Source organism: Homo sapiens, chromosome 20 (assembly GCF_000001405.40).
Source record: "Homo sapiens chromosome 20, GRCh38.p14 Primary Assembly".
Lineage (NCBI taxonomy): Eukaryota > Metazoa > Chordata > Mammalia > Primates > Hominidae > Homo > Homo sapiens.
Genome location: NC_000020.11, coordinates 14064251 through 14088281, shown reverse-complemented (window position 1 = coordinate 14088281; position 24031 = coordinate 14064251). Strand labels below are relative to the sequence as shown.

Below are 24031 nucleotides of genomic sequence, written 5' to 3'. Positions count from 1 at the left end.
CTCGACTCACTGCAACCTCTGCCTCCCGGGTTCAAGCAATTCTCCTGCCTCAGCCTCCCGAGTAGCTGGGACTTACAGGCACACGCCACCACGCCTGGCTAATTTTTGAATTTTTGGTAGAGACGGGGTTTCACCATGTTGGCCAAGATGGTCTCAATCTCTTGACCTCATGATCCATCAGCCTTGGCCTCCCAAAGTGCTGGGATTACAGGCATGAGCCAATGCGCCCAGCAGAGCTTTAATTTTTAAAAATTTAAAAGATCATGTGTATACATATACATATGTGTGTATATATAAAAGATCACATGTGTGTATATATATCTTTTATTTATATGTGTGTATATATATAAAAGATTATATGTGTATATATATCTCTCTTATGTATATATACACACACATATATCTTTTATGCATATATACACACATATAATCTTTTAAATGTTTTAAAATTAAAGCTCATATATTTATAGAATTTAGGGCATATACATTAAATTACTAGCTATAGTGATATCTTATTAAAACTACAGGAGAGGACTTCCTGAGACCCTTTCTAAGGGCCTGTCTTCCCCCAGAGGCCCCACGGGACAGAGAAAGCATCTTGATACCCAGGGCCACAAATGAGCAATCCATAGATACTACATATAAGAGAGACCTGTACCCTATGAGGTAACCTGAGGATGAAGGAGTGAGTCATATTGGGTGGCAATTAAATGACCCAGCCTCCTCTCTCAAGAAGACTTTTACATTTTAGACAGGCAGCAGAAGCAGCAAAGGAGAAAGGAAGTGCAGAAGCATCAGAAGAAGAAAAGGAGAAAACTGAGCCTTGATTACAGCAAAGCAGCTGTGGTACAAAGCAACTGACATCCAATCCTTTTTTTTTTTTTTGAGACATGGTCTCAATTCTGTCACCCAGGCTGGAGTGCAGTGGTATGATCTCTGCTCACTGCAACCTCCACCTCCCAGGTTCAAGCGATTCTCCTGCCTCAGCCTCCCGAGTAGCTGGGACTACAGGCACTCGCCATCACACCTGGCTAATTTTTGTATTTTTTTGGTAGAGATGAGATTCACCATGTTGGCCAGGCTGGTCTCGAATTCCTACCTTCAAGTGATCTACCCAATTCGACCTCCCAAAGTGCTGGGCTTACAGGCATGAGCCACCGCACCCAGCTGTAACTGATACCCAATTCTAAGGGAACAACAAGCTGACCGGTATTCTGAACTTTCTGCTAAATTGCCAGAGCTGTACAATATCCTTGAACAATGTTTCAGTTCTCCATTAGACCCTTCTGTTCACCTGCCAATGCACTTTCCTACTATTCTCTGTGAATTTATTATCACCAAAGGAAACCTGGAGATAACACTGAAACTCACCTGAACTCTGTATTCTTGGAAAGAGCCACAGTCAAGAAATTACCCCTACCCTTTTGTGTTCTGGGAAAGTTTACTAGATAAAACTGACAGATGACCACCTTGCAACCAATGACAAGGCCAGAAACAGACTTTCCAAATTCCCATTCTCTGTCTCATACATGTTAGCCAAACTCTTTGTCCCCATTTACCATTCTGGTTGGTCAATGCCCACAAACGACCTGACCAAACTTTAGTCAGGCTCCTCTCCTTCCTCAAAACCCCTGAACTTTGGTCCACCCTGAAGCAATGGAAGGTGAGTAACCCCTCCTTAACAGCCCTTCCCCAGAACCAGCTGAACTCTGGAAAAACATTCCCGATAACACAATATTCTGCCTCCCCCTATTGAAATCATCCTCCTCCTTTTATTGTCATAGTCTATTTAGATAAAGCCTCTCCTTACCTAAGTCCAGATTTGTTTTTAATTGACACTTGCAAACTTCAAACAGCCTAACTTTACAAAACACAAATTAAAATCATTAAATATCCTCTCATTTACAATATTTTTGTAGAATCACGGCTGTTATATCTTTTTTGATATATAGCCACATAATAAAATATAACATCTGTAAAATTTTTCCCAATGTTGAAATAGGAAAATTAACTAGACAACTAATTATTAAAAATAATTAAAATATGCTGGTTAAAATTAAGCATTTCATAATGAAAATGAAAACTGGAACCCTAACAACTTAAGTTTTGAAATAACTGAAATAATTTCTTTATATTTTCACTTTTGTCTTACATAGTTCAATCATCACCTGACAACCTATTCAAAAGAAGAAAAAAGCTTGATGAGCTTGTATTTATGTTGGCCAACTATTAATTCAAGCTACGAAAGTAACAATAATATACTTGCTAAAGTTCTTTCTGAAGAACTTTCTGCAACAATCTGTCACTTCTCCAGTGGTGCAGTATCCTAATCTCAACCTAGCGCCTTTCACTGTAGAGGGTACTGTAGATGCACATTAATTGCAGAACATACAAAAAAATAGATCTCCAATGTTTTTAATCAAGAAGAGAAACAGAATAGACATTTCTACGTCAAAAAGCATTTTTTTCTAAAATACTTACATTCTTATTTATTTAAAAATTTTGAAATAATACTTACATAACAAACACATCACAGGAAAATCAACTACTCACCGGCATTGACTATAGCATCTACCTCTAGCAATGTGATGTCACCTCTATAGAGAGAAACTTTTTCAGTCAAACTTTTCTTCACCTGGGATGTTTCCTGAGTATTTTCTTCTGTAATAGAAAATGGATATATATCAATAATAATATTATTAATTAACTTAATCGAGATAATTTTTTACTCAAGACTACTACAAGACCCAATATGTGTCATGCTCTACTACAAAAAACAAGTGGAAATAAGAGCGTAAGTACAAGGGGTGTGGTTTATTCTCTATTTTGTAATTCTCAAAACAAACACACTATCACATACAAAATGGACATACAATAAAACTTTAGCATGTTATATTGGTCAACAAGAAATTCAATACTTATGGGTAATTTTATTAAAATATCCATTCTAAAATAAAATTATGTACCATTACATTCACAAGGAGGTAAGAAAAAGATGTATTAATCTTTAATCTTAGGTAAGAAGAACTTACCTAAAAGGCATCCTTGATAAGAATATATATATATTTGAGCAAAAAAAAATTAGGTTCAGCTCTTTGCTACTTCCTTTTTTTTTGGAGAGGGAATCTCACTCTATCGCCCAGGCTGGAGTGCTGCAGTGGCGTGATCTCGGCTCACTGCAACCCCTGTCTTCCGGGTTCAATAGATTCTCTGCCCTCAGCCCCGCCCACCTCTCCCCCACCACCCCCCCACCCCCCAACCAAGTAGCTGGAATTACAGGCATGAGCCACCATGCCATGCCCATCTAATTTTTGTATTTTTAGTAGAGACAGGGTTTCACAGTGTTGGCCAGGATGGTCTTGAACTTCTGACCTCAAGTGATCTGCCCACCTCGGCCTCCCAAAGTGCTGGGATTACAGGTATGAGCCACCATGCCTGGCCAGCTCTTTGGTACTTCTAAGTAACAAACTATTACTCCGGATAGGAAATTTGAATTTGTGAAACTGCTCCTTTCTTATCAAATTGTATTTTACCTTTTGCTCTAGAGGGTGCTACTAGATTTTAAAAAGAAAGCTCTACCCCAACACACAACAGCCAGCAAGCAGGTATATCTAAAATAAGCCAAAAACGTTACTTTCTGAAATCTGATATTTTAAAAAATGATTTAGAGCAAGACTATAAACTTGAGTTTCCATTTATTTTGAACAAAATAGCAATAAGATAAATCTAGTAAAAGCTGTGCAAAATAAATGTTTTAAAATATTTTGAATTGCTATTCATAAAAAGGTTTTTAATATACTTACAGGAAAGCTGATTTATATTTTTGAATTTATATTAAACTCAAACTTTTTAAAGTATGATATGTGTAAATCTTTCATACAAGGAGATACTGTTATTCATTCACTGAGACACTCTCATTTTTAAAAGTATTTATGATATGCATAAATTTTTAATGAGAGGAGACACTGCTATTCACTCACTGAGATACTCTCATGAGCATGCAATCTTGAGACACCTGGGGGATTAGAGGTGATAGGTTATGAGTCACCTAAATTGTCTTTGGACCACAATACACCCTCCCCAAAAAAAAAAATTTGGCCAAGACTAGAAAATAATCTATGACCATAAAAATGATCCTTTCTCTGTCTATAAAGCATTCCCTTCTTAGTAACCGCTTCTCTCCCGGAAGGTTTTTTTTTGTTTGTTTTTTGTTTTTTTTTGAGACGGAGTCTCGCTCTGACGCCCAGGCTGGAGTGCAGTGGCGCGATCTCGGCTCACTGCAAGCTCCGCCTCCCGGATTCACACCATTCTCCTGCCTCAGCCTCTCCGAATAGCTGAGACTACAGCCGCCCGCCACCAGGCCCGGCTAGTTTTTTGTATTTTTAGTAGAGACGGGGTTGGTCTCCATCTCCTGACCTCAAGATCTGCCCGCCTCGGCCTCCCAAAGTGCTGGGATTACAAGCGTGAGCCACCGCGCCTGGGCCTCTCCCAGAAGTATTCTATCAAAATACTCACTGGTTGTAGTAATAATGACAAGGAGAATAATGTGGGCAACTTGTATGTTAATGACATAGAGAAAAACTTTAGGAACCTCAAAATATAAAATACTTACACTTGAGTTGACCTCTCAGGGACTCCTACAGTACTATTTATCTCTGCCAGATAGTGGGAAAGAGCAGACTTTCCTACCAGACTGACTCTGTTAAAATCCTAATTCTGCCAGTTAACAGCTGGGTGAGTCTGGATAAATTATTCTCTCCATGCATCAGTTTGTAAACCACTGTAAGTGAGTTCATTACACTTAGAATGTTTGCCTCATAGTAAGTGATCAACAAACACAATCATTTTTTTTTTTTTTGAGACAGAGTTTCATTCTTGTTGCCCAGGCTGGGGTGCAATGGCACAGTCTCAGCTTACTGCAACCTCCATCTCCCAGGTTCAAGCGATTCTCATGCCTCAGCCTCCCAAGTAGCTGGGATTACAGGCACCCACCACCACGCCCAGCTATTTTTAGGAGAGAGGGGGTTTCACCATGTTGGCCAGGCTGGTCTTGAACTCCTGACCTCAGGTGATCCACCCACCTCAGCCTCCCAAAGTGCTGGGATTACAAGCGCGAGCCACCACACCTGGCCAAAACTACCTTTTTTTTTTTTTTTTTTTACAAAGGTGACAAATATTATTTCAGCATCCATATTCAGCATTCATGGACCACAATACTAAGATACTTTTTCAAAATATTTTATTTTAAATAAAATATCATATTTATTACTATTGCTTATCAGTGAAAGAGACTATATTTTGTTTGTGCTGTTATCAAATTGTCAACACCTGACCCAATGACAAGGACTCTGAGCCACAAGTCCTTGAGTTCCACATCCAACTAGTTTCTATTGTGATTAACCAAATTATAAACTCTTGATTCTCCATTAACGATTGTTAAATGACAATAAACATTTGGTGGCTTTGTCAGAGACAAATGGATATTTAGACTATTGTGAACCTAGAAATTACAAAGATTCATCACTGAAGATGTTTCAGAACTCTATCAGGCATTAAATTGACAGACTTATCACGAATGCAGAAAGACCATTTCAACATGGGAAACAGAGTAAATAGATTTTCTAATCATTCTTTAACTGCTTTTAGCTCTAAGAAGTATTATTTCATTTTCTCATGAAGCATTATGTAAGTAACTCACATTTGCAGTGATAGAATTTTTAAACATATGAGACAATAAGTCATGTGTTTCTTTCTCAAAAGCAAAGAAATTATAAAAGAAAGGTATGGGAGGGCCAGGCGCGGTGGCTCACGCCTGTAATCCCAACACTTTGGGAGGCTGAGGCGGGTGGATCATGAGGTCAGGAGATCAAGACCATCCTGGCTAACATGGTGAAACTCCGTCTCTACTAAAAAAAAAAAAAAAAAAATACAAAAAATTAGCAGGGCATGGTGGCACGCACCTGTAGTCCTAGCTACTTGGGAGGCTGAGGCAGGAGAATCACTGGAACCTGGGAGGTGGAGGTTGCAGTGAGCTGAGATCATGCCACTGCACTCCAGCCTGGGCGACAGATGGAGACTACATCTCAAAAAAAAAAAAAAAAAAAGAAAAAAAAAGAAAGGTATGGGAAAACATTGAAGTTTAAACCATTTTTATACCACCGTTCAGTTGTTTCAAAAGAAACTCTAATCTGTCATCTGCAAATTTTTAAAATGGAATATTTTGAGACTGAAGTGGAGGTTCAAGCAATTCAGTATATTTATTGAATAAATATACTGCTGTGACAATGTTGCTCAAATAAGTTACTCAAAATGGTCTTTACTCAAGTTATCAGCATTATGAGGGAATATTTTCATTGTCTCTCATTTTAAAAACTAACATGAGGCTCTTTTTTCCTCAACAGTCAGATTATACTTACAGCCCAATTCCTCACATAGTATGCCAAAAAGATATGTACATACTTAAAGGCTACAGCTTGATAGGACTAATAATTAGCAGTATTTCCTTCAACAGTAAATCAAAACCTAATGAAGTATTTTTGACCACCAACTATTCTTTGCAAATACAACAATATAAATTACCACTTAGAGGCCACCTCTTTTATTTGCATAGCAATGCCTTGCCTTCCTTTTCACACACAGATCTCAATGTATCTTTTTCCATACCCTAGGTTTTCAGTAATAAATAAGACAAAAAGTTGCCAAGTATATCGCCCTCATGGACATTCTCTATGTACACAAAGCACCAACTCAGCTTGTACATCACTGGTTTTATACAATTGCAAGCTGAAATATCTGTCAGTGTAAACACATGACAGTAATTGCTCTTTCATATTATATATTTCTGATAATGTCAAAGAAAACCAGAACTGGAAGTGATTAAAGCAGTAAAAACAGATTTTATTCAGAAACTATTACAATAAAGGGAAAGAGACCTCAGTATAGAACTGGGATCATTTCCAAATACAGCAATAACAAGCAGGGATTTATAGCCAAGGAGCAGGATGGAGGTGAGTGGATGGGAAATAACTAAGAGGAAATATAGGGGGATTCTGGTTATAGAGCCTGAACAGTATTCTTGCTGAAGGCAAGTCAGGGTGATCACATATTGCCTGGTGGGGGATGAGCAATTTGACCAAGTATCAAGAGTGATCTGATATCAAGGGTAAGAGATTTTCTCTTAACTAACTTAGCAAGATTCTTGCTGAAACTGGGCTACGCAGGTATTGCAAGAATGGGGCCTAGACAAGAAAAAGGCTTAGAGAAACCTGCCTAAAGTTTGCTTAAGAAGACAGACTTTGTCAGTCCCTCTTATTGTTCAAGGAAAGAAGAGATTCTCATGAAGTTACCCATACATGAAAAGGTGTGGTGATTTCTTCAGCTTATACCAAGTGGTACAGCTTCAGCTTCCTGGGCTTTGGGAAAAGCATAGTTTTAGTTCTCAGTGATGCCAAGTGAGGAAGGTGGGGAAAAATTAGAAATGTTAGTTTGGAAACTTGTAGTAGGCTATCAGAGGAAACTAGAATAATTGAGAAAATGCATAAGATGGCAGGATCCAGTCCAGTTTATAGGTTGACAACGGAAAGCTAAAAAAAAAATGAACAGGACTAGAATTTAATAACCCACAAGGGTACACTATAGTTTTCCATTTAAGCATAAATTTTCTCTCCACTCACTTCCTTTTTTAACTCTTGTTTACAAAATAAGTCTGGTCTCATTAGATTTGGCCTGGTTATTTACATAATTGCAGCAAAAATGACCACTTAGGCCTTTTTGAGTTTGTTTTACTGGAATTTTTTATGAGGAATCTCAGATTAGATTTTTTTTTTTTTTTTTTTTTTTGAGACGGGGTTTCACTCTGTTGCCCAGGCTGTAGTGCAGTGGCACGATCTCGGCTCACTGCAAGTTCTGCCTCCCAGGTTCATGCCATTCTCCTCCTTCAGCCTCCTGAGTAGCTGGGACTACAGGCGCCTGCCACCACACCCGGCTAATTTTTTGTATTTTTAGTAGAGATGGGGTTTCACCATATTAGCCAGGATGGTCTTGATCTTCTGACCTCGTGATCCACCCACCTCGGCCTCCCAAAGTGCTGGGATTACAGGCGTGAGCCACCGTGCCTGACCTTCATATTAGGCTTCTAAAAGCCTCTTGAAGATTAAAAGTCAAGCCAAGCACTACCATATTTTTCCTATAAGAACTATAGATTTGGGTGAATTCCTCTCTTGTGAGGTTCCCAAAATATCCTAAGCTTCCTGGACCTGCCAGGAAGTGACCTTCCTTACCCACCTATAAGGCTGGGAACCCTATAACAGCAGTCTTTGGTTCAACGGACCAGTTTTGTGGATGACAATTTTTCCACAGACTGGGGGTAGGGAAGATGCTGGCTCACCTGCTGCTCAACTCTTGCTGTATGGCCCAGTCTGAGACCTAGGGATTGGGAACCCCTGCCCAATAAGCCAGGTACCAGGCCGGTTTTCCCAAGAGGACTTTGTAAGCATTGACTCCATAAAGTCTTTGTGCCTTAAAACTGTCTGGACGTATCTGATTCAATGCATCATTCTCAAATATGACATTCCAGTCAAAGCCTTGGTTATAAACTGATTTTTCCAAGTATGCCCTGTTACAAGGAAGACAGAATCTTATTGAACTTATCCAAATAATTGTATTGCCATTGAGAATAAGAATACTCAGTAAGTGTTTCTGAATTCTGGAGGGATCAGGTTGGAAGAAAATATGTTTCATCTCTTTTTACAAAAGCATAACCTACTAAATTGTCATGAGTTATAGAAAGCATGAGACAACAGAAAAAAAGTCTCCTTAAATAAGACATTAAAGAATGATAAATATTCCAAAACAATAACCATAAAAATTATCTTATTTATTAGTTTATTCGGCCCCATGTAATTGAATCTTCTGCTTTATCCTGCGTTAGCAGTTTTATGAACCCGTCAGCTTCTCTACTAGCTGCAGAAATCCATACTCATTCCAATGGTATGGTCTACAAGTATCTAAGCAATGCCATTAGAAGGCTATACCCCAGAGTACCTGGCATAGTCCTTTCCACAGGTCTCTGAGACAATCAGTTTTGTTGAAAATGAAGCATTCTGGCTTATAAGCTGATTATGGAAGCTTTCAGGAAGAATCAGAGTAAAAGAAAAACTATCTGTGGATAATAAAAGACTTAAAATGTCTGTGGTTAAACATCTGTTCATTATAAAAATGATAAAACTGGTGAGGGAATTTGGTTATTTTTGTGACACACAATATTTAAATATTTAAATAATAGTTGGCATTATGATGATAACAGTATATACCAGAACATATGATGGACAATGAGGGTATTGGCAAATGTCTATGAAATTCACATAATTTCTGGAATGTTTTATTATTAATATTTACCCATACAAATATAACCTAGAAAAGCTTAAGCATCACTTTTTACTTGACAATGTTTCCCACATAATTTAATATATCAAACAAACAAAATTTTTACTAGGTGAAAGAAAAAATCCTTTGACATTTTCCAGGGGACCTATGGGAAATCTCAAGGTCAGTCCAAGATTAATACTTCATTTAGGGCTGGGCACGGTGGCTCACGCCTGTAATCCCAGCACTTTGGGAGGCCAAGGTGGGCGGATCACCTGACGTCAGGAGTTCGAGACCGGCCTGGTCAACATGGTGAAACCCCCTTCTCTACTAAAAATTCCAAAATTAGCCAGGCGTGGTGGTAGGCGCCTGTAATCCCAGGTACTCGGGAGGCTGAGGCAGGAGAATCGCTTGAACCTGGGAGGTGGAGGTTGCAGTGAGCCGAGATCGCGCCATTGTACTCCAGCCTGGGGGATAAGAGCGAGACTTCATCTCAAACAAACAAACAAAAAAAGAATTCATTTAGAATTTGATTTTGGAAAACTCAAAAATGTCAAAAGATTTGAATGCTGATTAAACAGGATCCTCGATAACTATGAAACAATAGTTAAGTTCTCTTAAAAGGAGATGACATAGAAAACACAAAGCACAATAAATTATTTTGATAAGGCACAGAATTTTTGTTCCCTAGGCAGATTACTTAAAAGGTAAAGAGGCGGCCGGGCACGATGGCTCACGCCTGTAATCCCAGCACTTTGGGAGGCCGAGGCAGGCGGATCACCTGAGTTCGGAAGTTCGAGATCAGCCTGACCAACATGGAGAAACCCCGTCTATACTAAAAATACAAAATTAGCCAGGCGTGGTGGCACATGTCTGTAATCCCAGCTACTCGGGAGGCTGAGGCAGGAGAATCGCTTGAACCCAGGAGGCAGAGGTTGCAGTGAGCCGAGATCGCACCATTGCACTCTAGCCTGGGAAACAGGAGTGAAACTCCGTCTCAAAAAAGAAAAAAAAAAAAAAAAAAGAAAAACCTTTCACAGTCTCTTACTAAGAACAGACCAATATTCCAAGAAAACTTTGTTGCTTTAACAGAAATAAAACCAAGTTCTAGTTTTATATTAGCACACTGTTGGGCTGATGTTATTTAAAAAAAAACTTTATATAGAAATCAATTTAATCATAGCCAGCTTGAAAACATAAAGAATTCCTTTTCTGCAAACCTACAGTTTTCCATATCCATTCAGATTTCGTCCTACATTTTTCCTCTTTCTCATTCTGGAATAACCAGTAATCTTATTTTAAGACAAAATTACACTCTTTTTCCCTTATCAACAGTAAAAAAAAGTCCTTCATTCCTCACATACTTTGCATACAGAGTTGTTTCTCCTCACACTTATTATTTTTAGTAGTTTAACTTACATGTATTAAATGTAATTTTAACGACCAATACACTTTTACAAAGAAAACTTAAGGAGACAGCTGTAAACTGTGTCACATACTAGCATTCTATAGCAAACTAGCAGGTTTTATGAGTATATCATCTTACAATTCCTAGAGATATTTGTTTCTTTATAGTGTAATCTTTCAGAAGAACATTTTATTAACAGGCCCAATTATATCTAGTTTCTTTATGTCATATGAAAATAAAAAGCCAAAGTATATAAACTCAAACTTAGGTTTAGCATTAGTATTTCAGTCATTTATATTTCTTAGAAATTATGTAGATTTTAATGAATATCTATTAATGTAATGTAATGTAAGTCTAAGGTTGCAAATTACTAAAAAGATTTTAAAAACAATTTCCAGGCAGACATACTATAACATTAAACAAAGCTAGCCAACATCTCAAGTTATTTCCCTGTTAACGATTTCTACAACATATGCATTTATTAGGAAAGTATTATAAAAGCAAAAACCTAAAAAAGTTAAACACATGGATTTTTGTTTTACTGCTATGCTTGATATACAAGAAGTCATGGCTATAAAGCAATTCAATGTTAGTGCATGTTTACTTGTACAGTGGTTCTTAGGTGAAATTTATAATTTTTATAATCTTAAATATCTAGTAGACATAAGTTTATCTGATCAGCAAACCTAAGTAGAATAAAAACATGCCCACATTATACTTAACGCTGACAAGTCATTAAGACAAACCCATTTTTATTAAACCAATAATATTAATCTTATTTATTGAAGACTTAGCAAAGTTATATGTACTTCTTTGGGGGGTGGAAGGTGAGGGGGCAAGGTCTCGCTCTGTCACCCAAGCTGGAGTGCAGTGGTGAAATCTCAGCTCACTGCAACCTCCAACTCCCGGGCTCAAGCGTTCCTCCCACCTCAGCTTCCTGAGTAGCTGGGACTACAGACATGCACTACCAAGCCAGGCTAATTTTTGTATTTTTTATGTGTGTGCGTTTGGGGTTTTTTTTTTGGTAGAGATGGGTTTCACCATGTTGCCCAGACTGATTTTGAACTCCTGAGTTCAAGTGATCCTCCCGCCTTGGCCTCCCAAAGTGCTGGGATTACAGGTGTGATCTACCACATCCAGCCCGTATGAACTTTAAAACACATTTGGGTTAGTTTCCACATTTCTGGGAGTTTTTGGAATATTTAACTTATATAAGAGTTCATTAATCTCTAAGATAATTTGAATAGTGCTTCCTTATGAGATTTTATGAATTATGCTGGTAATACTATCCTTAGGTAGAAAAATATCACATATATATAACATACATACATAAACATATACAAACAAATACGCAGATAGCCGCAAACAGATCTTACAGCTTTTATTCTAAAACTTTAGCAATTAATCAAGTAAACAAAGTAATATAGTTTTATCTTTGGTCTACATTTTTGTCAAAATTGTATTCTTGATAAATGGAACAAATTAGGTTACCTGTTCTATATGAGAGTTAATGTTTTTTAATAATATTTATAGAGAAGATTTTTAAGATTTTCCCATGTAATCTTATGGAGGCTGTGGACCAAATTTTAGGCAGTAACTGAGGTGACATCGAACAGCTTTAAGGATGTCTCCAAAGCCCATCTGACTGGATAAAATATTCAGTGTTTCCAATTAGTGTTTTTTCCTTTATAGCCTCAGGTGGTTGCTTTTGGGGATCCTTGAGACCCTTGAAAACCTTCAACGAGGGACAGTGTGCTTAAAGTTCAAGTGCCTATAGGGAGCTGAGAAGCTGAAGTAGGGAAGAAAAAGTCTGGCAGATATGGACAGAAGGATGATGAAAGAGGTAAGGCTTTGAAGGGAAACATCAAAAGATTCAAGAGAATTAAAGGGGAAATCAAAGATGGCAAGGGGAGAAGGAGGAGCAGAAGCAATGGGAAGGGAGAGGTCTTAGAGGAGCCACTTTGGAAAGATCTTAAGTTTCCTAGAGAAGCCAGTGAAGTTCTAAATTATCCTTGTCAAATAATAAGTAAACAGATTTAGAGGAGCACATACTAGTAGTCCCTCCTATCCACAGGGAATATGTTCCAAGACCCTTCGTGGATGCCTGAAACCGCAGATAGTATTACACTCGGCTGTTGTCAGTCAGAACACATTTCTATTAATGTCTCACACTCACAAATTTAATGTCTTTTCCACGGTAACTAAGCATTTGTCATTCATAGTGGCTGTAATTTTGCAGATTGAGATGCGACAGCAAAGCTAGCACAAATTTTTTTCCTTTTTCACAATTTCACGCATAGAAAATTTGTTCTTATAGTAAATCTCAACATACGATTTTTTTTTGAGTACAGAACTTTCACCTTTTTACTTAAAAGAAGCACTTCATGGCTTCTCTTTGGCATATCTAAATTGCCACCATCACTACTCTTGTGCTTTGGGGCCATTATTTTGTAAAATAAAGGTGACTTGAACACCGGCAGTGCAATACACAGACAGTGAATGTGATAACTGAGATGACTACAAAGTGACTTAATGGCTGTATAGCATCTACAATTTGGATACACTGAAAAAGGATGATTCACTTCCCAGGAAGGATGGAGTAGATAGCACAAGAGTTCATAAAGCTACTCAGAATAGCACAAAATTTAAAGCTTACAAATTATTTATTTCTGGAATTTTCTACCTAATATTTTCAGACCACAGTTGACCACTGGTAACTGAAACTGCAGAAAGCAAAACTAAGGATCAGGGGAGACTACTGTAGTCAGCAGAACCTTGAGAAGAGGGTTTCAGTCAACTAATAAGTTCCCATGGGAGAAGCATGTTCAAACAGAACAGGGAGACCTCACAGAGTGCCAGGAGAAACCATTTCCATCTCAGGATTCTGGATGTGAATCCCCACTTGGAACCAAAAGCCATGAAGAAAGACTACCAGCCCAGTAGTACCTTTCAAAAAAAACATAGGTCTCTAACCCAACTTCAACCAGTAAACTCAGAATCTTAAGTATGAATATCTGTTCCTACCATGCTTCAGTGAACTGTCATGTAGGGCAATGGTTTAGGAGTCAGACTCATCAACAGATCCCAGATCAATCAGTCAGGAGTGAAGACAAAGGCTTCAAAGGTATACAGCTGAGTCCTGGATGAGAGATCCAGGAATCCAATAATAAATCTAATCCTACCCGTATCACAGGACCATTAACTGTTAAAGGAACTAGAGCTGGACAGCAGTTAAAGCAGTAAAAACATTATTCAGGGACTATTACAATAGAGGAAAAGAGACGTCAGTATCGAACTGAGCTCAGTTTCAAATACAGCAGGAACAAGTGGGAATTTATAGCCAAGGGGCAGGATGGGGTCAATGGATGGAAAAATCACTAAGAGGAAACACTAGGGGTAAGATGGGATTCTTGCTGAAGGTAGGCCAGTATGATCATATGTTGCCTGGGGGATGGTGGGGGATCAGGAATTTGATCAGATACCGAAATGTTAGATATTTGGGATAGGAGATTCTCTCTAAACTGACTTAGCAAGATTCTTGCTCAAACTGGACAACGAAGGTCTGACAAGGACAGGGTCTAGACAAGAAAAGGGCTTGTCCAGAGGGACCTAACTAAAGTTTGGTTAAAGAGACAGTCTTTGTCAATATCATATGCTGTTCAAAAAGTCATATTTGGGGAAAAAGTATGTCCCTTCTACTTCCTCCTCTGAGGGTAATATTTATTATTAAGTTTGCACTGGTTTTATAATTGTTTATAATGATTACATTTATAATTGTTTATAATACATGTCAGAGAAAATGTGAAAAACTTTCGATATGAGCTCACTCCAAGAAATTAGTGGGTGTCCTGTATAGCTTACCTATCACGGTGATCTCTACCTTTCACTGTCTTTGAGCTATTTTAAAACTCTGTAAGCTGCAGAAAATGGATAATAATGTGAATTATTGTCCATATAAATGCACATGAATTATATTCCCTGGAATACAACTGAGTATTATCTTGAGGACAATTTATATTTATTTTCATTTATTTTACATTACTTGTAAATTCATTTCAGTATTCTTTATTGCCTATATATGTATGGTTCTTTAAATTCTCCTTTCAACCAAAGTTAAATGTGTTGATAAGTGCTCATTTTATATTTGCGTGAATCATAATTTCATTTTTTTTTTTTGAGATGGAGTCTCACTCTGTCACCAGACTGGAGTGTGATGGCATGATCTTGGCTCACTGCAACCTCCACCTCCTGGGTTCAAGCGATTCTCCTGCCTCAGCCTCCCAAGTAGCTGGGATTACAGGCATGCGCCACCATGCCTGGCTAATTTTTGTATTTTTAGTAGAGATGGGGTTTCACCATGTTAGTCATGCTGGTCTCGAACTCTTGACCTCAGGTGATCCACCTGCCTTGGCCTCTCAAAGTTCTAGGATTACAGGCATGAACCACTATGCCCAGCCGCGTAATCTCATCTTTATAAAAAACATTTCCCTCTCATAGACATTTTTATTTAGTTCTAATGCATGTTCTTAATATTTGTATAGCATTTACCATGATCTATATGCTTTTTTTTTTTTTTCTAGACGGAGTCTCGCTCTGTCGCCCAGGCTGGAGTGCAGTGATGCGATCTCAGCTCACTGCAAGCTCTGCCTCCTGGGTGCACGCCATTATCCTGCCTCAGCCTCCCGAGTAGATGGGACTATAGGCGTCCGCCACCACGCCCAGCTAATTTTTTGTATTTTTAGTAGAGACAGGGTTTCACAGTGTTAGCCAGGATGGTCTCGATCTCCTGACCTCGTGATCCGCCCACCTCAGCTCCCAAAGTGCTGGGAATACAGGTGTGAGCCACTGCGCCTGGCCAATCTACATGCTCTTCTAATGCTTACAAATATTAACTCCTATAATTCTCATAACAAACATACATATATAGTACATATTACTACTATTCCCTCAATAAGTAAAATGAAGCTGAGCCATACAGAAATGAAGTGGTTTGACCAAGTACACACAGCTGGTAAGAAGGCTGGGATTTGAACCCAGGCAGCCCATGATGTTAATCAATCAACATGCTCCGCAGGTAAGAAGGCTGGGATTTGAACCCAGGCAGCCCATGATCTTCATCAACATGCTATGCAGGCTCTCATATACCATTTTTAGTTCAAAGAGTCCATCTGTGAATGAACTGTCTAAGTCCTATCTCTTCCTTTAGTGGCAAAATGCAGCAATTTCATCCCTGTCCCACCACACCCCATACACACACACACACCAAGAAAAAGCATTACTTGCCTTTGCCCTAGAGGAAAAAAACATAACTGGTTTTCCAGAGTAGTTATGATACTTTGAAAGCAATACAAAGGTGTCAGTAGTTTCTGCTACTATTTGACAAAATTTTATAACATACAACACACCAAGTACTAGAAAATAACATAAAATCAAATTTGCAGATATTAATCATGTATCTTCTATTTATGTTTTCTTCTTTGCTTGTTTATACAAAATCATCAAACTCAGAGATTCATATCCCAATACATATACTACTTTGTTTACACTGAAATTCTGTTTAGTATTTATATTTATGACCTTATTCTGATTTTTTAAAATTGTTTTGTAGAGACAAAGTTTCACTAAGTTGCCCAGGCTGGTCTTGAACTCCTGGCCTCAAGCAATCCTTCCGCCTTGGCCTCCAAAAGTGCTGGGATTACAGGTGTAAGCCACCACACCTGGCCTATGACCTTATTCTGAGTTCTGGCATTATGTTACTATTTCACCTCTATTTTAGGCATCAATAAGCCACATTAGAGATAGATTGATTCATTTTATGAGGTAGAGATATCATGTAATCCTGTTGGAACAAGAAAAGCAAATTTAACAAAAGATATAATTCACTAACGATATGAGGCAGACGAGGAGAAACAAACTCTGTTAACTCAATTTTAATCAAGATGAAATGGTCGGGCCCAGCACGGTGGCTCACACCTGTAATCCCAGCACTTTGGGAGGCCGAGGTAGGTGGATCACGAGGTCAGGAAACGGAGACCATCCTGGCTAACATGGTGAAACCCTGTCTCTACTAAAAATACAAAAAATTAGCCGGGCGTGGTGGTAGGTGCCTGTAGTCCCAGCAACTGGGGAGGCTGAGGCAGGAGAACGGCATGCACCCGGGAGGCGGAGCTTGCAGTGAGCTGAGATCGCGCCACTGCACTCTGGCCTGGACGACAGAGCAAGACTCCATCTCAAAAAAAAAAAAAAAAAAAAAAAAAACACAAGATGAAATGGCCAATACTGTCTTTATTTCAAAAGCATAACTTTTAAGATTATAATTCCATTTGAGGATATAACAGAATTTTCATTAAAATCATAAGTATATTTTACATTTCAAACTTCTTAAATATCGTTTTAAAATTGTTTCATCACTTTCCCTATGGGACTGTCAAACTCCCTGAAGATCATCTGATAAACAGCTAAGGGATCATCACCAGGTACTGAGCAATATAAAGGATGTTGTTTTAAGCTACTATGTTTTGGAAGGGTTTTTTTGCCCAGCAAAAGCTAACTGTAGGAGGAAGCTTTGAAGATTTAGCCAGATTTGATGATCTCTGGAAGACCATCAGTAGGTCCTGATGATCCCTTAGCCGTCACACTTAAAAGAATAAGATGCTGGGAGATATTCACACAAAATGCCTGGGAATACTCCAAATTCTTACTTTCCCCCATATTGAAATCCCTGTATTTTGGCACCCATAGACAGGATTCAGAGAAGCCACCAAGGGTACCAGTAAGTTGTCTAATGATATCAGAAGGGGCGTGCTGTCAGTGAACCTCCTCCCTTTTGAGAATGCCTGAAAAGTGAGTTTAGTCTTAATCCAGCCATGTGGATACAGATTTAAATCAACATTCCCGCTCCCCAAAAGAAAAACCAAATAATTAGTAGTATACCATCCCAAGAAAACCCCACAAATATCTATAGAAATTAATGTAAAAATGAAATTATAATAAATGTATTATCAAGATGATCAGAAAAATAATTTTGGGTTCGGTAAGAGGTTTTACGGATATACAATCAGGGAACTAGAGGAATCCCAGGGGTCAAGCTGTTTCTGAGATCATTTCTTGAAACCAGCCAGTCAATCTCCACACCTCCATCTCCTATCTGATCATTGTTCTAGATTACACACACACACACACACACAAACCCCTCTATACTCCAGCATATCCATTTATTCTCAAATATATAGTTCAGTTCTCTTAGGTATTATAGATGTTATATTAGAAGATTCTCTCTCGTAGGCTAATTAATAGTAGCTAGTGTGCTGGAGGTTTACAACGTCATTTTTGGGCTACATCTTCAAAGCTTCCTCCTAAGCTTTTGCTGTGCAAAAATCCCTTCCAAAACTTAGTGGCTTAAAACAACATCCTTTATATTGCTCATTAGCTTGTGGTTAACCAGGCAGTTCTACAGTCAGCTGGTGGGGTGACTAAGGCTAGATGGTTCTAAATGGCCCCACTCACATCTGGCTGGCAGTAGTCAGGCTGGTATAGGGGCCTCAGCTGGGATGGTCTGTCTCTGCTTCACGTGGCTTCTCATTCTCCAATATACTAGCCAGGGCTTTGCGTGATAAGCGAGCACAGACACCAACGTGCAAGCAATCTTTAAGCCTCTGGTTGGGTCATGTTTGCTGCAGTCCCATTGGTCAAAGTAAATCACATGGAAAAGCCCAAAGTCATTGGAAGAGCAGTAAATAGGAGCATAGACACAGGGAAGTGACATTCTTTGGGGATCTTTTTGGCCCCATTTACTAAGCACATTCTGAGTTCCTGAATTTTCTGCATACTAGATCCCAATATTTGTTTTGATTGCAGTTTTGCTTGATGTGCAAATATTTATTTGGGATATATTTTTATCTGATGGAAACTTGGTTCATACTGGCTGTTTTTTTAATGCCATTTCAGTAACTATTTTTGACTTCTAATACATTTCTCTACTGCAGAAATCTAATATCCAAATGCCTATAGGAGACAGACAGGCAACATAACTGAGGGAGGCCAGCCTGGTATAAATATATACAAATATACTGTGTTGTAAATCTGAAAGCAAAGAATGCCCTGTCCAAAGGATGTTGCCTCTGCTCACATGTCATGCAGGGATGTGGGCCTTGTACTTTCAGATCTCCGTTTTACAGGAAAAAAAGGAAATCTAAGTTGTAATGTAAAATCCCCTGATTTTTAAATACTAAAATTTAAAATAAAAATTTAAAATGAACTTTAACGGCCAGGCACAGTGGCTCATGCCAGTAATCCCAGCACTTTGGGAGGCCGAGGCAGGCTGATCACTTGAAGTCAGGAGTTTGAGACCAGCCTGGTTAACATGGTGAAACCCATTTCTACTAAAAATACAAAGTTAGCTGAGCACGATGGCGGGGGCCTGTAATCCCAGCTACTTGGGAGGCTGAGGCGGGAGAATCGCTTGAACCCAGGCAGCAGAGGTGGCAGTGAGCCAAGATCACGCCACTGTACTCCAGCCTGGGCAACAGAGCCAGACTCCATCTCAAAACAAAACAAAACAAAACAAAAAAAAGCCATTTAAAAGCAACATGGTACTGGTCAAGTTAAAAAATTTATCTTTGGGCAGAATTCAAGCAAAAGCTATTAACTTGTAAGTTCTTTAATGGATCCCAAACAGCCCACCATGTAAGGCTTTCCATCACTTGGTTAAAACCTGGATAGTTCCAATCTTATCAGCCCCTATTCCCCAATCTGTGGTACTCTCTATATTTCTCATCATGGGTGAATTCTCACTTTTCCTCAATACATCCTCTATTTCCTTCCCCTGTGACTTTAGAATGCCCTTTGCCTGGTCATCCTCATCCCACCCTAAAGCCCTCTGGTACTCCTAACTATCCTTTAAAACAGCCTGGATGTCTCTACTTTCATAAAACTTCCTATGAATGTTACTTCTCACTCTCTGAATCCCAAAGCACTTTGGGTCATCCTCATGACATTTATCATATCCTTCACAGTATTGAAGTTATCTGTGTATGTTTTATCATCATTCTACTAGAATGAGGAGTTCGTATTCTGGCTGAACTTTTTGTTTCCTGTATTACTTAGCAAGCTGATCATGCCTGGAATGCCCTCCTGCTCAGGTGAGCTTACACTCAAATATGAGATCCTTATATGAAGGTTTCCTTGATTTTCCCTGCCAGGATTAGTTTGGAATCTCAGAAACTGTGGAGCACAGGGGGGGTGGGGGGTGCGAGAGGATAATCTGTTGCTAAGATTTTTATCCAAGGAAGCTTCATGAAAGTTGGAGCTAGGAAGAGAGGCAGGGGAATTAAGTCTTAGGCCAATTAAATAAGTGAGCTGTTGAATTGGAAGGGCGAGCACTCAAGAGAAAAATCATGCGCATGAGAGCGTTCAGCATTGTATCTTTAAGAACGAACAATGGAGCCATCTGCAGACATCCTAATTCTACCCTTTCCTAAAATAAAGTCGAGTTTTATAGATCTATATGTCCTGTTTCTCTATGTTAATATTTTGAATGGTTATAACCACCCTCTTGAGGTAACTCAAGAAAACTGAGACACAGAGAGATCAATCAACTAGCTTGCCCATGGTCTTACAACTGACAGAGCTAAGATTTGAACAATGGAAGTCTGATTCTAGAACCCATGTGCTGAGTCACTGTGCAAACTGCCTCATAAGAATCAGCCTCACAAGGGTAAAAATAGATCCAGAAGTTCTTTAAATAAGGACACACTTCACTCTCCCAGGATTTTTTATTTTAATGAGACTATGTGTGAAGCTGTTTGGGATGGGAGCTCAGGCATTAAAAATGTGCATTTTATCCTACTGCTATAATCTGCTAAAAAACAATTTAGTTAAAAAATTGTGATATGAATACACAGTATGACTCAGTCTAAAGCTTATATAATAATGCAACCTAATTCTTCAAGTAATCTTGTGTAAAAATAAAGTTCAAAAGATTATACTTCAAAGAAAAGGAGAAGCACATTTCTGCCCTTTTAGTAAAATGTACGAAATCCTCATTTATAAAAAAGGAAATAAATGTTCATTCAAAACACAAACCTTTTTATGCTGAGTGCAGTGGCTCATGCCTGTAATCCCAGCACTTTGGGAGGCCCAGGCGGGCAGATCATGAGGTCAAGAGATCAAGACCATCCTGGCCAACATGTGAAACCCCATCTCTACTAAAAATACAAAAATTACCTGGGCATGGTGACGCACACTAGTAGTCCCAGCTACTAGGGAGGCTGAGGCAGGAGAATCGCTTGAACCAGGGAGGCAGAGGTTGCAGTGAGCCAAGATAGCACCACTGCACCCCAGCCTGGCAACAGAGCAAGACTCTGTCTCAAAAAAAAAAAAAAAAAAACACTAAAAAATCAGGCCAGGTGCAGTAGCTCACGCCTGTAATCTCAGGACTTTGGGAGGCCGAGACGGGCGGATCACGAGGTCAGGAGATTGAGACCATCCTGGCTAACAAGGTGAAACCCCATCTCTACTACAAATACAACAACTTAGCCGGGCGTGGTGGTGGGCGCCTGTAGTCCCAGCTACTCGGGAGGCTGAGGCAGGAGAATGGTATGAACCCAGGAGGCAGAGCTTGCAGAGAGCCAAGACGGCGCCACTGCTCTCCAGCCTGGGCGGACAGAGCAAGACTCTGTCTCAAAAAAAAAAAAAAAAAAAAAAATCACTAAAACAACAGCATTCATAATTTTGCCTTATCAGTCAAGTGTAGGATTTTCAGCCTGTCGGTTAAGAGCTTTAGAACCTGTGAGGTTAACTTGATAGACTGCAATGAACATTTGCACAAAATAGTATAGACTAGAACTAAAGTATTACAGTGAGTCACATGTAGTAAATAATTGTTTCATGAAAATTTTGTCTGTTACATATACATTAGACACACATAGGTCATATGTTTCTTACTGTGGGTCTTGGGTAAAATTTTGAAATTTTTGAAATCAGTGTTTGTCTCTACTCTGACACAAAAATAAAATGTTTTAAAATGTTGTCATTTTGATATTTTGCCATTTCACAAAAATGGACAGACTTTCAAGACTATGTATCAAAATACCAAACAGTGAACATTTCTGTAAGAATTCTTGAGTGCAGAACCAAAGCTAATATATTGACTAACATACCAAGATTTTACAGGGTCTAGCAGAGAATAAGATATATAGTAAATGCCCAATAAATATAGAATTGATTGATTACAGAATGTGTTTATGCTTAAGAGGACCTGGTTTGTTCTATACAAGTCCAAATTCACATAATAAAGCACAAATAATGGAGTTATTTACAGTATCACATACAAAGCTATAACTAACTCACTGGTATAACCTAAGTGGAAAATCAAAATTTTCAAAAGATGTAATTTAATCTGCAGTAGATACCTAAATCTAAACACAACAAGGAAACAAAGCCTAAATTAGTAAAAAGAAAAAAAAATGTAATCCACAGAACTTTTGCAAAAGACCTTTGAACTCTATGGATAATGAAACTAAAGTACTGAGAGGTTATGTTGCTTGCCCAAGGTCACAGAACTAGTGGATGGCAGTCCAATATTCCTTTCCCTCCACAATGACGACTCACGTATTTTGCATGTTGTCTTGTAACTTAATGTTATTTAAAAGAGCATCTCTGTTTGTGTTATAGCTATGCATGTACCATATTAACCCCTCTTTCAAGAGTCAGTAAAAAACGGAGGCAACAGATTCTGGAAACATTATGCCGATTTGAATCTCAACTCTGTCGCTTACTAGCTCTGTGGTACTGGTCAAATATAACCCTTCTAGGCCTCAGTTTCCCCACTTATGGGGATATTACCTCTCTCACAGCATTGTTGTGAGAATTAAATGGATTAAAACATAGTAAAGCATGTGAGAAAGTGCCCTAGACATAGTAAAAGCACAATAAACGTCAACTGGCAGGAGGAGAATTATTACTAATCTGAGTTGAGGCAGAATCACTTCTTTCTGCCATATATACCAGCCAGCACAATACCCTATACATACTTTGTAAAAACACTAATTATGCCCAAATACTCCTTTCTCCTGCCAGGTAAGCCAGAGATGACTCAACCAAGAAGCATGAAATAAAGAAGAAAGCTTCTTACTTGAAGCTCAGAAAGCACTAAAAAATTAGGTGAGCAAATATAGTTAAGGACTGCAGAGTTATACAACAGTCAAAGAAATTGCGAGAGAGACTGTGAAGGATCACCACAGATCAGATGCGAGGAGTCCTAACACCAAGAGGGAGAATCAAACAGGTGTGTCAGATGTCCACACACAAAGAATTTAAGTTAACTGGCCAGAACAGGAATGGAAGTCTATAGCTTTCTGTTACGTGCAGCCTTGGTAGGACCCACAGGAGTCCAGCCAAATTCAAAGGTGCAGAGGTTGAACTGACACACTGAGTTCAGGAACTATTTGTTCTTGATTTCCTTAAATAATGCTAATCTCTGCAACAAATGTCTTTGGTTCCGTGATTCAGATTGTATGTAAACTTAAACAGTAAAATACCAAAATCATTTTCTTTGGCTCTAGTACTTTTTCCCTACCGATGTGAAAGTAGTTTCTAATTTTCTTCCAGATTTCTTTGAATATTATGGTAATAATTACTTCATTACTAATCTTGTCTTTATTCACAAATGTTCTTCATTTAGTATCGTATTAACAGCTGAACTGCACTCAGCACTGGGCCAGATATCATGCAATTTAAAACTACAGCTGCTGCCCACCAAATACCAGTAGAAGAAAATCACTGACCCATTTAACCAATAAGTAGGATTGAAAGGGAGCCTAAATGGAAACACAGATCTCTGAGGAAGCTCTTAAAATAATCTTCGCCTGAACTAAGACTGTGGCAATGGAGATAGAAAAATGAAAATGTCAGCAATAATACTCGAGGCATATTTAATAAAGTGTTGAGGTCTCACTGGAAGAGGGAGGACAAGAAATTGCTGAGGTTGACTTCCTGGTTTCTGATCTAGGAGGCTATGAGAGGTAATGCAGGTGCGAGAGCCAGCTTGGGAAAGAAGATAATTAAGTCAGTCCTGGATATGTTACATATTAATTTCCTGCAGAGTACTCAGGTAGAGAGGCATTACATGTACAGGTCTTGATGCTCAAAACAAAGGTTTTCAGGCTAGAGATGTAGATTTAGGAGACACCATCATGTGGTAGTGGCCCTGGGTGAGATCAACATAGGTACACATGTAAATGAAAACGGACCAAAGACAGA

General features: G+C 38.8%; 1 protein-coding gene across 3 annotated transcripts in view; it reads right to left on the bottom strand.

Moving 5' to 3' along the window:
• The window catches only part of MACROD2 (mono-ADP ribosylhydrolase 2), a 2057682-nt gene that overhangs the window by 1964916 nt on the left and 68735 nt on the right, over positions 1-24031 (bottom strand). For all 3 annotated transcript variants that reach the window (NM_001351661.2, NM_001351663.2, NM_080676.6), the window contains exon 3: positions 2554-2661. In NM_001351661.2, the coding sequence (NP_001338590.1) occupies positions 2554-2661 (108 nt within the window). The remainder of the gene's footprint in view (positions 1-2553; positions 2662-24031) is intronic.